Source organism: Homo sapiens, chromosome 7, assembly GCF_000001405.40.
Source record: "Homo sapiens chromosome 7, GRCh38.p14 Primary Assembly".
NCBI lineage: Eukaryota > Metazoa > Chordata > Mammalia > Primates > Hominidae > Homo > Homo sapiens.
In genome coordinates this window covers 1,728,135-1,748,799 of record NC_000007.14, presented here as the reverse complement: position 1 = coordinate 1,748,799, position 20,665 = coordinate 1,728,135, and the positions used below count along the sequence as shown (strand labels likewise).

The window sequence follows — 20,665 nt, the reverse complement described above, 5'->3', positions numbered from 1 at the left end:
CTGGCAGGTGGATTCGAGGGCCTGGGAGTCCAGTCTCGTCCTCAGCGTCTCCCTCTGGCTCCTGTAGGTGGGATGAGGGGCACCCTGTGCTCTGGGCAGCAGGAAGCCAGGGACTCTCTCCATCCTCCCCTGGGGATGCTAAACAACCTGGTGCTCGTCCCACATGGACTCCAGCCTCTTATTCACTCAGAACGGGGGCCCACACCAGGGCGTGCTGCCTGGAGGGGTGGTGGGTGAGATGCATATGGAGGGGGCTGCAGTGCAGGGTCTGGCTCCGGGCTCAGCGTCCTGAGAGACCCCCGAAGAATTAGGGGTCTCTGGGCACTTCCTGTAGGTGGGGCTCTGGCGACAGCAGGGGAACCCGCCCTCACACAGACACACCCTCCAACCACCTCACGCTCACGCTCAATCACATGCAAACCCACACCATCGGCTCACCCGGAACCTCACTCAAGAGCCTCTGGGCGTCCCAGGCCCACTCACACCCCCTCGGCTGCTGGGTTCTGCACACACCCCGCTGGCACGCACAGCCAGACACACACAGAAGCAGCCCCGCACCGTGGATCCACCACACCAAGACCCTGCTCCCGCCCGTCCTCCCGCCGCCACCTGAGCTTGGCTCCCGCCTACCCTGTCCACACCGGCTCTCAGACACGCTCCAGCCCAGTGCGGGCCGCCCACCTCCCAAGGGTTCCCACGTGCACCCCCCTGGTCACACCACGCTCTAGCCAAGAGAGCACAGCGTGTCCCCACCCCAAGGCCAAAATCAGTAAAACCACCCCCTAAACGGGACATAAAAGAAACCTCAACTCTTTCCCTGAAACCCACAGTAAAAACCCAGGACAAACAAGCATTTGATTTGTTTTCCTTTGCAGATTTTTTTTTAAGTAGACATAGTCTTTTTTTTTTTTTTTTTAGTAGACATAGTCTTTTTTTCTTTCTCATTTTACAGCAAACATTGCAAATATAGAAATATTTTTTTCTGTACAATAGAACGACTACAGTGTACATGGGGGCTGGGCTGGGGGACGTGCCTCCCAGCCCTTGGCCGTCCTGGCCACCCCGGCCGTCCACAGGCACAGCCTCCACCCACCCTGAGTCCAGCAGGGCTCCAGGACCTGTCCCGGAGGCCACTTGGCCGCCGGCATTCACTCTGCCCCTCTGCAGTGGACTCCGGAGGCGGCAATGAAGAGACGGACTGGACAGAGAATCCACAGAAAACCACGGACCGAGGAGATCACGTGAGGGGCCCCGAGGTGGCCACGCCGGCCACACCCCCCACGGATGGCATTTTATGTCTTTTTAAAATAACTTGTCTTTTATTATATTTTTTTAAAAAAGGAAGAAAGTAAAGAGATAGAGAGGAAAAGAAAAGGCAGAGAAGACTCAAAAGAGGAAAGATAATGAAAAAAAAATCCCCACCCCCACCCCCCATCCCTAAGACACAGTTTTCCGAAGTCCCTCGTGTGTGTGTGTGTGTGTGTGTGTGTGTGTGTGGACACGTGCCACCCGGGGCGACAAGCGCATCCCAGGACCGGCCACAGGAGCTCGGGACGTGTCCCCCTTGTCTGTCCCCACTCGCTCCCCCCTCGCCTCTGCAGGGCCCCCCGCTGTCACAGTTGCTGTGGTGGCGTGCGTGTGTTGGGTTTGGTGCTGAGTCTCTGGGTGGATCCTGCATCCTTTTTGGTCCAGTGGGCATCGCCGGTCTTGGGGGGCTCAGGACTTGTGCTGGGCCGACACGCCCTTCCAGTAGTCCAGGATGTCGTGCAGATCCTCGTCTTTGGCGAACTGAACCTTCTTGCGCAGGGCATGGCCCGCGGCCATGAACTCCTCTTCCTCCTTGTGCCGCCGGCGGCTCAGTCTGAAGCGCTCCCAGATGCTCTGGGAGGCCCGGCAGGTGTACTCGGGGCTGGAGGAGTAGCTCAGGCTGTGGTACTGCGGGGACAGCTGCGAGTAGGCGAGGTCGCGGGGCCGCGGCCGGGTGAGTGGCTCCAGGATGGACGCCTTGCGCCCCAGGCCCTCGTGCGGAGGCGGCGGCGGTGGCCCGGGGGGCGCAGGTGGCTCGGCCGGGTGGGAGCCGGGGTACGAGTGCCGGTGCTCGCCGTACTGGCGACCCTTCTCGGCCTCGGCCCGCAGCACGGCGGCCGCGGGTGTCACAGTGAGGATGGCGTCGGCCGCGGGGGAGCCCTTCTCGATGTACTTGGCCTCGGCGGCCGCGGCCTTGTGCACCCCGACGGCCTCGGCTCGGAAGGCGCGGGGGCTGCGCACGGAGCCGCTGGACGAGGTGCTGGCACGAGGGGGCCCGGCGGCCTCCACGCTGTGGTGCCGCTGCAGGCTGTGGCCGAAGGCGTCCTTGTACCCGGGCGCCAGGAAGCCGTGCTTGGCGGCCAGCGGCTCGGACAGCAGCACCAGCGGCGGCTCCGCGACGGACACGGGCCCCGACTTGACGCCCTGGAAGGAGGTGGACTCGGACTTGAGCGCGTCGATGCAGTTGTTGATGATCTGGTTGACCTTGTCCACCTCCTTGGCGATGGTGGAGATCTCGGCCACCGAACTCTGGCTGTCGGGGCCCGGCCGGCCCAGCTCACAGTCCCTGCGTTCCGGAGGGTCCCCGGTTCGAACCTCCATGTAGCTGCCCTTGCTGGCCTTGGGGGTGTCCGCGCTCTCCACCAGCTTGTACTGCTCCACCTCGCCGGCCGCAGGCAGGTAAGGGATGCGCGTCACGGCCTCGGGGCCCAGCAGCGGGCCCTGGGACAGCGGGGCCAGGCCGGGCGCCTCCAGCTCTGGCCCGTACTTGAGCTCGATGATGGTCTTCTTGAGGCTGCCAGCTGCGGCTGCCGAGGCGGCCTTCTTGTGCTTCTCCTCCTGGCGCCGCCGCCTGCGCAGGCAGTAGTAGACGGCGCCCAGCACCAGCACCATGCCGAAGAGGCAGCCCAGGATGGTCATGATGTAGTGGGTGGCCGTGGAGGGGCTGGGCACCGGACCAGGCGGGCTGGGCAGCCGGGGCAAGCAGATGGTGAGGCAGGTGTGGTTGTGGCGCAGCCCGGCGCTGGTGGACACCACGCAGTAGGTGTAGTTGGTGAGCGTGAACAGGTTGGTCAGACGGATCTCCTCCTGGGCCTTGGTCAGCCTGGACACGGTGGAGGCCTTGCTGTTGTTGAAATGCTCCAGGGTGTACATCCGGTGGAACGGGCTGGGCAGCTGGACGGTGATGGTGGCCGAGTTCTGAGTGAGCTGCTTGACCTTGATGAGGGGGCGGGCCTCGGCCTGCGTGGCCAGCGTGGGCAGGGCCACCAGTGGCGTGGTGCCGTCCCCGGAGAAGCACTCATCATCGGCACAGGGCATGTCACTGGGCTCCGGCGGAGGCGGGGGCGGCGGGGAGCGGCCCGGCTGTGAGCGCCCGGATGCTGGACGTGGGGGCCCGACCACCTCAGCCGCGTACGAGTCCTCGGTGCAGACTGACTGCAGTTTGCTGAGGATGCTGCGGTGGCCGCGGCGGCCCTGGCCCAGGAGGTAGTAGCCGGAGTAGACGGGCGGCGACTCGCACTGCATGCGGTCGTACGTCTGTGTGGCGTTGGTGAAGGCGGCCAGCCAGCGCAGGAAGCCCAGCAGCTCGCAGGAGCAGTAGAAGGGGTTGCTGTAGAGCTCGCACACCGACAGCTTGGCCAGGCCGGCGAAGGTGCCGCTGTTGAGCTGCTGGATGCGGTTCATGGACAGGTCGATGTTGACGATGTTGGGACACTCCCAGAAGCTGCTGGCCATGACCACCTCGATGAGGTTGGCCTGCAGGTACAGGTACTCCAGCTTGCCCAGGCCGCGCAGCATGCCCTCCGTGAGGTTGCGCAGCCGGTTGTAGCCCAGCTGCAGCACCTGCAGGTTGAACTGGCCCGAGAAGGCGCCGTCCTCGATGTAGCCGATCTCGTTCTTGGTGAGGTTGAGGTACGTGAGGTTGCCAAAGCGGCTGAGCGAGGCGTACTGCACGCTGCGGATACGGTTCTCGTTGAGCCGCAGGTCCACGATGGTGCTGTTGATCTGCTGTGGGATGGCCTCGTAGGGGGGTTGGTTCTGGCTGCAGATGGCCAGCCACACGAAGCCCTTGTCGCCCTCGATCAGCCAGCAGTCTGCGCGGGCCAGGCCGCCAGCGTGCAGCAGGGTGGCGGCCGCCACGCACACCCACAGCGCGCCCCACCCACGCCCGGCCATCGGGACCGCCCTGCAGGGAGCCCCAATTCAGCCTGCCCAGGGGGACCAGGTGGGGGGCCAGGCGCCAGCCCCCAGAGGGATGGAGGGGCGGGAGGGGGAGGTGCCTGCACTCTCAGGGGTGTCCTGTCCCAAACCGCATGGCCGCGCGACGTAAGCGCGGGGAGGGAGGGCGCCTCCCTCACGGCCGGCCGCCTCTCGTCTTCCGCCCCAGTCCTGTGGTGACCGAGGCCTCCTGCCCCATGGGCCTGGGTGTCCTGATGGCTCCACTGACTCCTCCTGCTCCGACGTTCCTGCTGCAAGACAAGAGAGAAGACAGCGGTCAGGGGACAAGAGAGAAGACAGCGGTCAGGGGACGGCCGGCATCTCACAGCGGCGGCATCCCAATGTGGCCTGAGTCCCTGCTCCGCTGAGCCCCCTGAATCTCTTCTGTAAAACACAGAAAAAACAGAAGCTCCTTCCTCAGAAGCCCCTGGGGGGTCCTGAGACAGGTCAGGATAGCGGAGGAAATGCTTCACCCTCCCGTGGAGGGGTCTCCTCGGCTCTCGGCCTCAGTTTCCTCATCTGCAAAATGGACGGGGCACTGCCTGCTTGGCCATGTTCCAAGGTACTGACAGCCCAGAATCGAGGTCCCTGAAGCCCATTTCACTCTCGGCGCAACCCCGGTCGGATAAGGGAACTGAGGCAGGGGACTGGGACCTAAAGTCGCTTGGCTGAGGAGTGACTGGGCTTCCGCCGGCTGGCTGCGGCCAGGGATGTGCGTGTGAAGGCCCTCACTGGGCACGGTGCCTGTCACCTGGGGCTTCTGCTCCCAGGAGGCCCGGCCACAACGCCCCTGGAGCCGCCTGTAGGAGCTACCCTGCGCACTCACCGCAGGGTCCGCAGCCCTCAACACAGAATCCTTCCGGGGCGCGGGCTCCTCTCCAGCCCTCTGGGAGGGAGGCACCGGGAGGTATTCTGGCCTGTCCGGGGACTCGTGTCTGCCAGGTCTCGGTCTGAGCTCGCCCGCCCTGTGTCCCTGGCACGCTGTGCCCCCTCTGGGCCTCAGTTTCCCCAAATGAGCCAGCTGGATGGTCTCTGAGGGCGTCTACCCGGCACTGGGACTTGGCACTGTCTGCACCTCACCTTGGTGGATAGGGGCCACCTCCCTTCTGGAAGGAAGGGAACTGCTTGCTCTGCGGAGAATTTCCAGGCTCCACACATCCTCCTCAGGCTGGGAGAGGGACAGCTCCGAGGTCCCTGGGGGAGCCGCATGCCTCTCCTGCCATCCTCCCCACCACCATACGGGGTCCTCTGCTCTATTCCTCAGCCTCCACTGGACCCTGAGGGTCTCCAGGCAGGACGGTGCCTCCTCCATCTGCCTAGTGTCTGCTGAGCCTGGACACAGAGGATGTGGCGACCGAGCTGTAGGCGGGGAAGCCCCAGGCAGGAAGGACCCTGCAGACGGGGCTGGAGGTACGTCCGGGGAGCGAGGCATCCCGCTGGGCTCCTGCTCCCCCATGGACCCCCCCACCACTACCCTCGAGATAAGGGGGCCCCTGGTGTGCGACCTCACCTCCCGGCCGCCTGTGTTTTCCCTGCAGGATAGAGAAATGGGTGTGTTTGCTTGTTAATATGTGGATTTACAGTCGGCCTCTGTCACCGAGCCGTGGCCTGGCGGGCAGCCAGCTGGGTGTATTTCACTGATATTGACGTTTGCAACTAGTCTGCACTGAAGCGGTTTAAATTAGAGAAAAAAAATATAATGATGTAAAATGGGTTTTTTCCTCCCTTTGGAAACTTCATAAAGAACAATTTTGTTCCGGCTCCTGGAGAAGAGTCTATTTCTGATTTAAAGAGAGGGAGAAGTCAGACGGCATGGGGGCTACAACGAGGTCCTAGCGGGCCTCGGGGAGCTAACCCAGGGCTTGGCCTGGAGTGGCCAGGGGACGCCAAGCCCAGCCGGGCAGGACCTGGCTAGGCCCACTCAAAAATGGCTCAGGGGGCTGCTTGGGTAGGGAAAATGGGGTCCCCACGTGGTCCGGTTGGATGTGAAATCCACCATCACGGGAGTCAGCGCTGTCTTGGTCACCATCATGCCGTGTGCACCTGCCAGCTCGCACCCACGCCAGCCCCTCCATCCCTCCCCACCATCCCTGCACCGTGCCCAGACAACCTGTGCCAATGCTGGGATTTAGCTTTCCCAAGCCTCCTGGGGGCCCAGGTCTCAGGCAGAGGCGCGTGCTGGCCGGGGGCGGGCCAAGGGCATGGGGCGGATGGCGTCCGGCTGTGCCCGGCCTCCGGAAGGGCGGGTCTGGCCAGCGGCCGCACAGGAAGCGTGTAGGAAGCGTGGCGCCTCAGCCACAATCGTAATCACCTTTAATCTCTTGCTCAAAATAACCCAAAGTCAAGGTAAGGAGGATTACAGGGCCTAAGAGCCCTCACCACAGGCACAGGGAGGAGGCTTGGGGGCCTGGGGCTGCTCCGGCTCTCCTGGGCCCGCAGCTGAGGGCTGGAGGGCTGCATGCACATGGGGTTCACGTGTGTGTGTGTGCATGTGTGTTTGTGGACACATGTATACCTGTGTCCACCCACACACGTGTTTGTACACGTGAGCCCTCGTATGTGTGTGCCAGGTTGTCTGTGTGTGTGTACAGATGTGTGTGCACAGGTGTGTACACAGGGCAGGTGATTGTGTACATGAGTGCGCAGGCCATGCTCACTGGGGCCCTGGGCAGAGCAGGTGTCACTGAGGACCCCCTGTCTGGGCAGCGAGGCCTGGGGCTCTGGTGCGTCTGGGGCTGGGTGGAGGCAGGTGTGGGTGGCACCTCGGTAGTGCAGCTCGGAGCCCCCCAGATTTCCTCCTCATGTTCACACATGCACGGGGGTCTGTATGTCTGGCATGTTGCATGCATGCAGGAAACACGCTCTAAGTGTGCACCGGTGGCTGACATCTCCAGGGCCTGGCTGGGTGCCACACTCTCTCCCCCTTCCTGGCTCACCTGGTTCATCCCCTGCCAGCCCTTTCCGTACCACCATGCCCCACTCCCCCCATTGTGAGTATAAGAATCTGTGCATCAGACTCCTTGGGAGTGGTGCTGGGAACGCAGCCTCACCTCCCCACCCAGCTCTGAGCCCTCCTCCATCAGGCTGGGGAGCCTGTGTGATGAGGGAGGCAGGCCGTCCCCAGCCCAGAGTCCAGCCCTCACCTTCCTGCTCGGCCCCTGCCCCAGAGTACAGGTGAGCAGCAGCCTGGCCTGCAGGGGCTCAGGGAGTCCTCCCCCCACCCCCAGCCTGGCCTCGCTGCCAAGTCTCCTGGGCAGGGAGATCTTTAGGGCGTGTGGGCACGACTTCCCAGTGTGGCCAGCGCCCTGCCAGGGAGGAAGGGTGGGCCCACAGCCCCTTAGGAGGCACAGATTTTGCCCCCTCTATGGCCCCCAGCTTTGGAGGGACCCCAAAGTTTTCTTTCTTCTTTTTTTTTTTTTTTTTTTGAGACAGAGTCTTGCTCTGTCACCCAGGCTGGAGTGCAGTGGTGCAATCTCAGCTCACTGCAACCTCTGCCTCCTGGGTTCAAGTGATTCTCCTGCCTCAGCCTCTCAAGTAGCTGGGATTATAGGCACACACCACCATGCCCGGCTAATTTTTGTACTTTTAGTAGAGACAGGGTTTCACCATATTGGTCAGGCTGGTTTCGAACTCCTGACCTCAGGTGATCCACCTGCCTTGGCCTCCCAAAGTGCTGGGATTACAGGCGTGAGCCACCATGCCCAGCCAAGGGGCCCCGAAGTTTTCATTCTGCAGCTCACTTTACAGCGGGGAAACTGAGGCACAGACACAGAAGGACTTGTCCGAAGTCACACTGTGAGTCAGCCCTGTGCAGCCTCCTGTCAGGGGCCGGGGGGGAGAGGCTGGACAGGTGCTGTGCTAGGAGGGGTTCGGGGGGTGGCCCGGGTCCAGGAGTCCCCAAGGGCAGAGGCTGCGGACCTGGCACAGGAAACAGGGAAAGGCCGAATCACCTAGGAAGGTTCTGGACAGACCACAGGCCCCCCCAAAGCCCTTTCCAGCTGGGCTCGCTCACTCAAGTCACTCTCGATGCCCCGCCAGCCTGTGCCCTCGCTGATCCGCACTCACACCTGCCGCTGCACCCCACGTCCAGCGATCCGATCATTAAACAACATTTCTAGAAAGGAGTGCTGTCTGGCACGGAGGGCAGGTGCGGAGACCCCGCATGGGCGTTACTGTCCTTCACAGACCCAGCTCCAGCCCTGGTCCCCTCCTCAGCACACTTGCTGCCTCAGACCCAGAGGCTCGTATGGGCGTGGACCACAAGGCCCCAGGGAGGGCAATAGGCATCCCTCAGGAGGGCGGCTCCCCACTGCCTGAAAGGAGCTCCCTTCCTCTCAGCCCATCTGCACCTGCTCCCAGGGCCTGGCCTCCTGCCTCAGGGAGACACAGAGGCCGTGGCGCCTCTGGAATGGGCACCCCTCAGGTCTGATACCTCCAGCCCTCTGCAATGCCATCCTGCCCACACCACTTTCTTGGATGCACAGAGGTTCTGTACTTGCGCTGTCCAACAGGGTGGCCACGGGTCCCCTGTGGCTCTGGAGTGCCAGAAACGTGGCTAGTAGCTGCCGTATTGGAACTCGTAGTTCTAGAACCTTCCATAAAACAAACCAACTTGACCTGTGTAACTTCCAGCCTCTGCCTCATTGCAGCAGGTTTTCTTGGAAGGATCGCCAGCAGTTTCCATCCCCCTCCCTCACCTCCTCTTCCATCCTCAGCCCCGCCCCACCGGGCGTCCCCCCTCGGGCCCTCTGAGCCGCTCTCACCAAGGCCACCGGTGACCTCTGCCCTGCCAGGGCCCATTTTTGTCTTGCTCAGCCTCTCGGCAGCCCTTGGCCCAGGAAGCTGCTGGCTCCCTCCTGCCGCCCTCTCCACTCCAGCATCCCAGCCACCGCCCTCTCTGTCCAGCCTCCTTCACCTTCCCCACGACTCCACATGTTCCAGGCCAGGCTCGGTCCTCACTGCCTCCTCTCCCCAGCTCTCCCAGGGGGTCTTGTGCCCCGTGCTCTTGTCTCTGTGCAGCTGACCCTCGGTCTATCTTGAGGCCCTCGGCTGCCCCCGACTTGAAGATTCTCCCCCGTTGCGTCTAAGTGGCTGCTCCAAGTTCCCGTCCCCGCTGGCATCTCCCTGCCTCACCATCCGCCACATTCCTACACCAAAAGTTGACGCCGCATTCTGGACTCCTCTCTTTCCTCCCCCCACACCTGGTCCAACTCCAGCAGCATCTAATCCACCTGCAGAAGCATCTGGAATCACTCCACTCCCACCACGACCGCCCAAACCCACCTCCAGCGGGGACGACGCCCAAGGTACCACCTGGTCTCCTGGCACCCACAATCCATTCTCCCTCCACAGCCAGAGGGAGCCTCGCTAACCACCAAGGCGGTCCTGCGGCCCCGCGCAGCCCTGAGGGCGTCCAGTCCTCCACGCGTGGAGGAGAATCCGGCCTCCAGACACAATCTCCAGGGCCCACTGGATGGGCCTCCGCTCCTTCTCACTCCCAGTCCTCTGGTGCATGCCCCCTTCCTGGCTGAAGAACCTGCACCAGCCGCCCCTCCGCCTGGGAAGCTCCCTCCTGTCATTCACTCCGAGACGCAGCAGCGTTGCCCCAAGAGCCCTCCCTGCTCTGCACCCCGAATTCACTCTCAGCCCCCACCTAGTTTAAATCCTGGCCCTTCTCTCTCCCTGATGTTCTGCTTGGTTATTTACTTTTAATTCATGTTGGAGCTCCTCCTGCCACTGCAAGAGCAGGAGCTGTGTGTCCTGGTCACTGCTGTGGCATCCCAGGGCCGGCGCGGTGCCCAGCAGCCAGGACTGGACAGACTCGGGCCACGCTGCGCACGGGCTGGGATGCGCTGGCTCTGCTTCCTCTTCCGTTGAATGGGAGTAAAGACCACTCCTCCCAGGGAGCTTGTGGTTTCTCACAAACATTAACTTCCTTTTGTACTTTTTTAAAGAGGTGGGTCTCGCTCTGTTGCCCGGGCTGGAGTGCAGTGGTACAATCATAGCTCACTGCAGCCTTGGCCTCCTGGGCTCAAGCCATCCTCCTGCCTCAGCTTCCCAAAGCACTGGGATTACAGGTGTATGTCACGACACCCGGCCATCCACTTCATGTTTGATCAAGCCCATATGCTTCCCTGTTACCCCCTCAGGAAAGATATGACATGCCCGCAGGGGGTTAGGGGGTCCTAACCCTAACCCACAGGGGGTCCTGCATCTCAGCTTTGGGCCATACCCCGCCAGGTCTCATCGGTCTGTGCACATCCGTACCAGCTTCAGTGTCTGACGCCCCTCACCCAGATGGAGAGAGGCCTCCACGTGCCCGGCCCTGGGCAGCCACAAGAGCACCACAGGCCACGCCATGGGACATGGGACCACGCGCCCTCCGTGGTCTGGGTGGGAAGCCCCTCGAGTGAAGGGACTGGCCAGGGTCGCCTGGGCTAGCGGGGGAAATGGGCTCCCAGAACCGCTGCGTTCACTCACAGCCGCTGGCGAGGTCTGCTTGTCGCACGGGGACCTCGGCTGTCCTGGGGGCATCTGCCTGTCCCAGGACTGAGCCTACCAGGCTTCCACCTTGGGACAGCTCTGCCTCCCACAGGCAGGGCCTGGAGGGAGCTGGAAGGGGTGGCCGGCATACCCTATTCACAGAGAGTGCTGATCAGGGGGACAGACACAGAAGCCGGGAGAACAGAGAACGGGGTCAGACTTTAGGCCAGGTGACCCTGGAAATGTGCTCGGCTCTGGGCCTGTCTGGAGGGTGGAGAAGGGGCAGGAACCACCAGTGGCCTCTGGAAACAGGAGCACTCCTGGGACCCAGCTCTGTCCAACAAGCTGTGGCAGGTAGTGAGCCCCCCATCAGCAGGGGTGTTCAAGCAGGAGCTGGCGCAGAGGACAGGGCTGCGGGGAGGTGGTGTGAGCGGGAATGCCCCCGATGGAATGAGCTGGCCACTTCAGGGAACGTTGAAGGTGGAGGGAACACTCAAAAGGACGGAGTCTGAAGCACATTTGACCTTCCCGAAGAAGCTCTCTCTCCTGGATGGGTGGAGGGCGAGTGGCTTCGCATCTGAGAGTGGGACCCACCCGCCTCGGACAGCAGAAAAGACCCCGACTCCAGCTGGAATCTGCTGGGATTCAGAGCCAGGGGCCAGCCAGTCTACCGCCTGCTGTGCCCCCGAGACCCGGAGCAGGAGGGTCCGTGTTCATCTCCTGGCCTTGCTCTGTCCACTGAAGGTGGGTTGCCAGGGACTGGACATCTAGGAACCACGGGGCCCCTGAAGGACTTACAGACCACCGTGGGGCCTGCAGGGAAAGAGGAGGCTTGGCTGGGCTAGGGAGGTGTGCGAGACGGGGTGTAACCAGGCAGGGCTTTGGCAGGAGCTGCGCTCGAAGGGCCCCAGCAGAAGAGTAGGAGTTAGGGAAGGAGGGTAACAGGCATCCCAGGGAGAGGGGGTGTGTTCGAGCCATGAAGGCAGGAGGCCCCTCCAGGGAGTGTGGGGTGTCCAGGGCACAGGCAGTGGCGGGCAATGCTGGGCGGGAGGTGGGGCTGCAGGGGTAGCTGGGGGCAGGTGGAAGGGCTTGAGTGCTGGGAGAGGAGCCTGTTCTTTAACTGGATCATCTCCCCTCCCTGGGCTTCTCTGCTCAGAAGGGGTGGGAGGAGAGAGTGCAGCATTGCTCCCTGAGAACCCTCTCCTGGGAGACCCTCTCCCGTCTGAATACTGGAGTTGCTGGGAGAGCTGGCCACAGCAGGAGAGGCCAGGCATCCGGGCCAGAGCCAGAGTCCCAGGTCTCCAATTCCCACCTCCAGGCCTCAGTTTCCCCCATCCTAACATGAAATTGTTGAACCAGATGCCTCCAAGGACTCTTGGGATTGTGTGCGGCGCCTGGTGTCTCCCCAGCTGGAGCCCTTATGACATCTCGTGATCACCCTCACACACACTGCCCCCTGCAGAGAGCACCCCGCTGTCCCCCAGGGGACGATGGGGACAGTGCGTGTGAGGTGGGCACCAAGTTCCTTCCGCGGCCTGTGTCATCACTAATGAAATCAAGAAATATGGTGGTTCCAGGCTTTTAAACTTCTTACGACTGAATTTGCATAATCACAACAGCCGTGCTGGGACGGGCGTGCATCTGTCTAAAAATATTGTTCCTCGTCTCGATCATTTAAACCAGACAAGAGGCCAGGGCTGGTGTGGGGCCGGGGCCGGGGCTGGACTGAGGATTCTGCTGATGGAGCGAAGTTTCCAGCTCCAGGGGGAAAGGTGGGCGGAGGGCCAGACGTGTGGGGGAGGCGGGGAGATGGTTGGAAAGCTATAGATCGATAACTTTTCATCGTTCCAATGTTTTGCCGATAGATCATGTTTACTGCTAACGTCTGCCTGCCTCTGCAGCTTGGCTCTCGCCCTGTCTGTCTCCCTGGGCTCTGCCGCAGAGCCCATGAGGCTGTGATAGGCATATCAGGGCAGTTGGGCCTCGAGCCGCAAGGCCTGCCACGGTGACCCGGCCCAGCTAGGAGCAGGTGGGGGGCCCGCCTGTGCACCTGCTGCGTCAGGGGACACAGAACCATCGTGGGCCAGGAGATGGTGTTGGCTCTGCCGTGCGCCTGCTGTGTGACCTTGGGCATGTCACTTAACCTCTCTTAGCCTCAGTCCCCTCATCTGTCAAACAGAGATCATCACGGTGTCCGCCTCCCAGGGTTGTGGTGGGGGATGCATCACCAGTTACTGAAGGCTCCTGGCATGATGCTGGGTACAAGGGGGTGCCCAGTAGACACTCATTTCCTCCTCAGTAGGGGAGGGAAGGTGAGTGCAAGGCAGTATGGGAGATGGAGCCGCACGCTGGACATATGTGGGTTTTCCTTCAGCACAGTTGCCGGACCTGGTGCCCACAGAGGGGGGCCCATTGAGGGATCTCACCAGCTCTGGGGGCTCCCTCATGGCTCCCCCAGACCCAGTCCTCTCTTCCGCTCCCTGCTCCCATCCTATTGTCCAGGGGAGGCTGGCGGGGGTTGCAGGCAAGGCCAGGGCTGGGAGGGCTGACTCGGCGGGGCTGGCTCCTGGGGACATGGCCGCAGGGTTGGGTCTAGCAGGCCCCTGACCTCCGCCTTGCCCTCCAGGAGGCCGGGCTGGGGAGTAGAACGGAGGGGACTGCTGCCTGCACCACGTCCCCACTGTGTGAGGACTCGGTGAGTGCTGGGGAAGGTCAAGGGGCTATGGGAACGGTGCCGAGTGCCTGACGACCTTACCATGTGACCTTGGGCCATCCACACGACTCATGGAAGCTGCAGGGCTCCCCCTGCCCTGCCCCCAAGAGCAGGAACACCCTACAAGTGTGCAACAGAGAAAAGCTCCTGTTTCCTCGACGGTCCGCCGGTGTGCAGCACCTCCCGCATGCAAAGCCCCTCCCCAGGGTTCAGGGAGGCAAAGGTTAGTGTTACCTCAATTGGACAGATGGGGAAACAGAGGCTCAGCATGGGAAAGTCTAGCCAGGAAGTTGAGACTCCCCCACGGCAAGGCCCAGGAAGGCGGCAACAGCACTCCACTGCTACTTAAAAATGCAGATTCCCGGAGCGGGCGCAGTGGCTCACACCTGTCATCCCAGCACTTTGGGAGGCGGAGGCAGGAGGACGGCTTAAGCCCAGGAGTTCGAACCCAGCCTGGGCAATGTGAGACCCCATCTTTACAAAAAATAAAAAAATTTGCCGGGTGTGGTGGCGTGCGCCTGTGATCCCAGCTATTTGGGAGGCTGAGGCAGGAGGATCCCACCGGCTCAGGAGGTTGAGGCTGCAGTGAGCCATGACTGTGCCACTGTGTTCCAGCCTGGGTGACAGAGATCCTGTCTCAAAAAAAAAAAAGAAAAAAAAAGTGAAAATGCAGATTCCTGCCTCACCCCAGAATATGCAGAGGCAGGCCCCGGAGTGGGAGCCCAGGGCTGGGTGAGACAGACCCTCCCCAAGGCCCTGGCCCTGGAAGGTCGGGAAGGGGGTGCCTGGTCCCCTCTGCCTCCTCCCGACCAGAGCGGGGAGGGCTCAGGGCTGGGGCTGGGGCCCTGAGTGCTGCCTCCTGGGATACACCAGGCTTATTCTGCCATCCTACCTCTGGGCTCGCAGCCCCGGGCTGCTCTGGAGTTAATTAGAGACTCAAACATTTAATGGTCTGTTATGCTTCCACGGGGCATCTTTTAAATTAAAAAACATGATGTGTGGCGCCGTTGGAGGGAGAAATCACTTTGCAATGGTTCCCTGCTCCGGCGCTGGCAGGGATGTGGGGTGCGGGTAGCTGGCTGGCCCCGGGAGAGGAGGAATGACCCTCTCCAGGAACACTGGTCCCCCTCCCACCACCGTCAGAAAGCGCATCACTTATGCCAGGCAAGGGTCTAGGTGTCCAAGGATGCCTGGCACTTTCCTCATCACGCCCTCATAACCCTGGCAGCTGGAAGTTCTATCTTTAGTCTGACCTGAATCTCTCCAGTTGCTTTCAGGGATGGCTGGTTTGAGACTGAAGGCAGACAGGTGCTGGTTCTTCTCTTCCTAGTAGTACCCTGACCTCCAGGAGCCCCTGAGCTCTGGGAAAGCCTTTCTGATGATCTCAAGCTTGCAGATTCTGTCCCTGTTCTGACCGGGGGTCACAGCCTAGTGGTAGAACAGGACCTCCTGCTAAGATGCTGGAAGGACCCTTTGGGGGAGCTGAGGCCTGGCTCCCCTCTCCCCAGGCGCAGGTGCACAGGCGTGTGGGCTGTCTGCAAGCACAGATCCTGCCTCACAGCACCATTACCACAATGACTGAATCTGTGTTTCCTGGCTGCTGTTAATTGTGCTAGAGATTTGGGGCATGGTTTTGGGGTGAAGGTTAGAAATGAGCAATTAGCCCTCAAATGTTAAACTAATAAGGGAAATAAATGATCAAGCAAAGTCTAGCCTAGGAGGTTTCAGCAACGGAAGATGGGCTGGGACGGGGCTGGGATGCGGCCGCCCCAGGCAGGGAGTGGCCCAGCCCGGTTTGCTCAGTGACCAGGATGTTTCCACAGTCGGAAGGGGTGCTATCTCCTGTCTGTTACTAGAAAGTTCTATCATAACCCCAGGGATGCTGACATAACACCACGAGACAATTACTGTCCTACCGCCCAGGGCTCCTCCTGCCTCAAGAGGACAGGGAAGGGATTTGCTGTCCCCACGCCCATCAGCACCCGAGAGGCCTGTCACTCCCTCTGGAGGCTTCCCCGGCCACCAGCCCTCGCTCACACGGTCACACCATTTCCACTCCCCAAGGCCACCTGTCGGGCACTGCGTGTCCCGGGGACTGGTGTCCCGGCTGCCAAGGAACCTCAGCTGGATCTGGCTGAGCTGTGAAAATAAAAATGTGGGCTGGGTGCGGTGGCTCACACCTATAATCTCAGCATTTTGGGAAGCCGAGGTGGGTGGATCACTTGTGGCCAGGAATTCTAGAACAGCCTGGCCAACATGGTGAAACCCCATCTCTACTAAAAATACAAAAATTAGCCGGGCGTGGTGGCAGGTGCCTGTAATCCCAGCTACTCGGAAGGCTGAGGCAGGAGAATCGCTTGAACCCAGGAGGCAGAGCTTGCAGTGAACTGACATTGTGCCACTGCACTCCAGCCTGGGTGACAGAGTGAGATTCTGTCTCAAAAAAGAAAAAAGAAAAGAAAAATGAGATGTCTCTTGACCTCATCACACAGCCTTTCCCCGAAGCTTGTTCAGCGCCGTCCCCACTGTGGCTTGAGCTCACTTCCCAGGAAAGAGGTTTCTGCAGACAAAGCTACTGCCACAGCCTGGAGATGCTTGCTTTTGACTTGCTTGTCATCAGCTCCGTGGGGCATATTTCTCCCCACCGACATGGCCTTCCCCTGCTTTGCGGCTCGGGGAACTCCATGCCATCCTGAGACAGGACACCCGCCTCTGTCTACCAACCTCTTTACTGTTTGAATTCTTACATTTAACTGTCAATCCACCTGCAGACTATTTTTCTGGTGTAAAGAAGGATCAAAATTGATTTTCTCCCTTCCCCCAAATAGGCAACAAATTGCCCTGACACTATGTTGAGTAATCTATTCCCTCGGGCTGATTTCTGGTGCTCCATCTCCACCCAGGCTGGAGCATCTCCTGCCTCTCCTCCTACCCCCTGCAACCTTACGTGGCTCCCCAGTACCCTGGAGAGAGTCCGCACTTCTTAAAGGGGCTGACTGGGCATCAGTGAGGGTCCTTGCTGTCTCTCAGCTCTCATTTTGCCATTTGAGGCTGTGATTCGCCTGGACTTCTTGCATTTTTGCTGACATGCTGTTTCCTCTGCCTGGGACGTGAACCCCTCCCAGCACCCCAATGTTCCCCCACTCAGTGGGCTTCTCTGTTCAGCCCCCAGATTGGGGCTGGAACCTCCCCTCTGTAACCGGGGCTGCCTGTGCTTGCTCCGCTGTGACCCCACGCTGCCAGGCTCTGATTCCCATCTATCTCCACCTAGAGTCCACCTTCTGCACCGAAAGCTCGGGGCAGGTAGGGCTGGAGCTGGGGTTTCCTTTCCAGGCACTGAGTAGGCAGTGCATGCTGAATGAATTCAGGGAAATATTAACTCCATAGCTGCCTATAACGGAAGGCAACCAGGCCAGGCACCTGGCTCATGCTTATAATCCCAGCACTTTGGGAGGCCGAGGCGGACAGATCACCTGAGCTCAGGAGTTCCAGACCAGCCTGGCCAACATGGCAAAACCCCGTCTCTACTAAAAATACAAAAATTAGCCAGGCGTGGTGGTGGGGGCCTGTAATCCCAGCTACTCAGGAGGCTGAGACAGGAGAATCGTTTGATTCTCCTGCGGAGATTGCAGTGAGCTGAGATCGCACCACTGCACCCCAGCCTGGGCGACAGAGCGAGACTCCGTCTCAAAAAATATATAAATAAATAAAGGAAGGCAATCCGAAATCGGCATATGTCACGGTTTTCCTGGGATGGGCCCTGTGCATGTCTGTTTCCCCGTATAATGGTGAATACATCCTCTTGTCACTCTAAAAGTATCCCATTTGGGGCAATAAATTGTCATATGGTCACCCTCTCATGAGGCCTCTGTGTGGGACCATTTCTCCTATTTCTATTGATAACACCTCCCCTCTCTTCTTTTACCAATTTCAGCACAATATCAATCACCATAACTCTATAAAAAGCTTCCATACCTGGCAGGAAAGACATCCTTCATCATTCTCCCTTTTCTGCGTTTCTTTAGTCTTGCCATTTGAATATTCATTCAGATGAACTTTTAGAATGATTTTATCTCGCTTTGTAAAACTCGCTGCGAGCCTGTTGATGGATGGTGGTAAACCTGTGAATTAATTCTGGAAAGACTTTCGGGTAATATTCCAACACGGCACATCTCACCACTCTTGTTTTCTTTGATATCTCTCAGGATAACTTTAGAGAGTTTTTCATAATGATCCTAAATTTCTCTTGTCGATTCATTCCTGGGAATTGGGAGGGTTTTGTTGTTTTATTGGTGCCGTTGTAAGTGGGGACCGTTTATTTAATTATGTGTCTCGACTAGCTGTTGTTAGTTCAGAGAAAAGTTATTGATTTGTATATGTTGGTTTGATTTCCAGCCCAGCACCTTCGTATTAAATTTTTATATTAAGTCATTTTTTTTCTCAGTTGCTTCTCTTGGGTTTCTAAGATCTTGAATCATTTTGTCAGCAAATAATTACAATTCTTCCCTGTAGACATCCCATTTAATTCTGTTTCATGTCTTATTGCTATGTCCAGAATTTCTGGACAATGATGAAAGCATTGCTGTTTTTTAATATAAGTTTCTGAATGGGAATCATTAAAAAATCTCATCACCTAGAATGATTCTGGCTGTTGAACTGAGACAGATTCTTGACTTCGATAAAGACGTGTGTTTCTGGTTCTATTTCTAGCAGTTACTTTAAAATCCGAAATTGGCACTGGATTTTATCAAATGCCTTTCGTCATTATGAATGTGCATTCCAGCTGACCTGTGGACACTGTGTAGTTTATTAATAGATTTATCTAATATTAAGCCAACTTTGAATTTTTTGTATAACTTCTACATAATCATGGCCGATTCTTATCTCTGTGATATTCTGTGGAATTGGATTTCCTTGAGTGTCTTTGAGGCTTTTTGATCCAATATTCACGGGTGAGATCAGGGTGGGGTTTCATTTCCTGCAGGGTCTTGGCTGGTTTGGGGTTTGAGGCTGTCCTGGCTTCCTCCTCCAGCTCATCAAACAGTGTTGCTGCTGGAAGCCCCTGGCTCTGTAGGCTTGGCCCCCCTCCCCAGTGGATGTGTTCCGGAAAGTCCTGCAGGCAAACACCACACACTGCTTTGTAAAGTGAATGATCATTTTCTCAAGTGAAATGTCACGCCTCATTTGTCTTCTGTGCTTTCCAGATTTTCACGATTCAGGGTCAGCTCAAAGCAGGGTGAACGATAGAGAAGCCTCCTCTGGGAGAGCTCATGACCGCCTGGAAGGCATCCGACGTGGCGGATTCGGAGATGGCATCTGGGAGGGGCTGGTCCCCGGGTGGGGCTGCCGAGGGCCTTGGAGGGTGACCCCAGCTCCCTGCCCTTGAGGCTAGGCCTGTGAGACCACCCCCGCCCACCTCCTGGGGCCTGCTGGTCTACGTGCCTCGGCATCCGTGCTGACAGATGGACATCCCAGTAGGCATTTGAGAGGGGAGGGCACAGACAATACAAAATGAATAAACTGCAATCTCAGCCCCTTCGGGACGGCTGTTCTAACATAGGAGAAAAGGAACAGACGCAGGAAGTAAATAGGGGCTCAAGGCAGGACTACTAGGGCCGACCCTGTCTGCAAAAGACAGCTGCGTCTCTACCTCCCACCTGGAGTCTGCAGAGACCTTGACACCCCCTGCTGAGACACAGGGTCTAGCTCAGCACGCCTGAATCTGGGCTGGCCTGAGACAGCCTTAACCAAGGCGCTGGTAGAAGCGAAGCCGTGTCCGTCCTGGGCACAGCCCCTAGCTAGGCCGGCCACCCTGCCTCCTGTGTCCTAGAAGCAGCCACCAGGTGAGAAAAGCGACTTTCCCAGCACCCTGCTGTGAGGCCTGGGTGGTGGGGGGTGTGGTCCCATCGAGACTGAGAGGCTAGGGCCATGGCACTGGCTTGGGAGTGAAGGAGCCGCTGCTGAGCAGAGGTGAACCGCCCTGCTGAGCCCTTCCCAGTGCCTGACCCAAGAACCCTGAGCAAAAGAAGCTGGCCCTGAGCCCCGGGGTGCAGGACTTTGTGGGACAGTGGAGGATCACTGACTCACACCAAACCCAAGTCCTCAAGTAAGAGGGAGTGGGTGGGGAGCCCCAGGCCTCCTCCAAGCTCACGTTCCCCATCCACCACAGGGGGCCAAGCTCTGGCTCTAAGAATCCACTGGAGAATTGGAGGGCTCCTGGCAGTGAGTTGAGCAGAGGGGCCCTGTGTGGTGTGAGGGCCAGAGGAAGCTGGCAGTGGCAGCTCCGCGGGGCAGGAGGAGCTGGGCTTTAAGCTGAGTTTGCCTCCTGAGCAGCCGGCTGCTCCCCAGCTGGGTGATTTGCAGAATGTCCTTAAGTTCTTTGAGCCTCAGTTTACCTTTCTGACAAATGGGGCCACTGATAGCCATCATGAGATGATGGACATCATGAGATGATGAACAGGACCATCACGACAGTGAGATGCGATGGTGTTTGTGAACACGCTGGACACACGGAGGAGCTGGTGTGAAACTCCCCTTCCCCGACAGGAGCTGGGACCCGGGTGGAGCTGGATCCTCCCACTCAGTTCCTGATACTCACAAAACTCTGGGTCTTTCCCAGCCTCTGTTTTCTCTCCTCTGAAAACTGAAAATACTAACATCACCCTGGGGTTCCTGGAGGGGGGAACGTGAGAAAACGCATGTGCTGTGTGCTGCCTGGGGCGTGAAGTGGTCCAAAAGCCATCGGTGGGATTTGCATGGACAGAAGGAAAGGTGGGGGGTCTGAGCAAAGCCCAGGAGGTGCCTCCGAACCAGGGGACCCTGAGCGCTGGGGCAGTGGCTTTCTGTGAGGGAAGGTGGCCAGGACCCTGAGTGAAGAGGACTGGGTGCCTGTTGGCAGCAGCTGGCTTCTGCTCGCCCAGCCAGCTCTGCAAACCCTCCGCATCTCAGAGCCTATCAAGAATCTCTCTAATAACACAGCAAACATTAATTACAGCTGAAAGGCCGCAGAATGCGGTTGGTCTGAAAGAGGCTGCCCCTTGTTAGTCAGTGAGCCTCTGGGAAGGGTGCAGGCCGGGGCTGGGCTCCCTCCACAGGGGCTACTGCAGTGGCAGGGGGATGGGGAGCAGGAGTCACTCCCAGGGCTACAGTGCAGACCACAGGTCCTGGGGGAGACCTTCTGTTCTCACCCGTTTGGCGCCCTAAGGGAAAGCCTGTCCTCGCAAC

General features: G+C 59.2%; 1 protein-coding gene and 1 long non-coding RNA gene across 12 annotated transcripts in view, besides 2 other annotated features; one reads left to right on the top strand and one right to left on the bottom strand.

Moving 5' to 3' along the window:
• Positions 1–853: 853 nt before the first annotated feature.
• Positions 854–20,665, bottom strand: part of ELFN1 (extracellular leucine rich repeat and fibronectin type III domain containing 1) — an 81,883-nt gene continuing 62,071 nt past the window's right edge. For 8 of the 9 annotated variants that reach the window (NM_001394188.1, XM_006715725.4, XM_047420363.1 and 5 more), the window contains one exon: positions 854–4,496. In NM_001394188.1, coding sequence (NP_001381117.1) covers positions 1,717–4,203 — 2,487 coding nt within the window. In that variant the 5' untranslated portion in view covers positions 4,204–4,496 and the 3' untranslated portion in view covers positions 854–1,716. Of the gene's footprint in view, positions 4,497–17,416; positions 17,880–20,665 lie in introns of those variants that run through there. The other variant, XM_011515401.3, reaches the window with a different exon arrangement.
• Positions 5,647–5,696: an enhancer, noted in NCBI's record as "active region_25499". NCBI's record gives its function as "activates an Ori minimal core promoter by ATAC-STARR-seq in GM12878 lymphoblastoid cells {active_cell/tissue: GM12878}" and the evidence as "EXISTENCE:reporter gene assay evidence [ECO:0000049][PMID:35858748]".
• Positions 6,490–10,170, top strand: ELFN1-AS1 (ELFN1 antisense RNA 1). Of its 3 annotated transcripts, none has more exons than NR_120510.1 (2): positions 6,490–6,591; positions 9,598–10,170. It is a non-coding gene; the product is annotated as an ELFN1 antisense RNA 1 (long non-coding RNA). The 3 variants fall into 3 exon arrangements; NR_120509.1 differs by having other exon boundaries at positions 9,462–10,170; NR_120508.1 differs by having other exon boundaries at positions 9,265–10,170.
• Positions 15,386–15,887: an enhancer, noted in NCBI's record as "H3K4me1 hESC enhancer chr7:1772549-1773050 (GRCh37/hg19 assembly coordinates)". NCBI's record gives its function as "activates a minimal SCP1, AML or CMV promoter by ChIP-STARR-seq in primed H9 embryonic stem cells {active_cell/tissue: H9 hESC(primed)}" and the evidence as "EXISTENCE:reporter gene assay evidence [ECO:0000049][PMID:30033119]".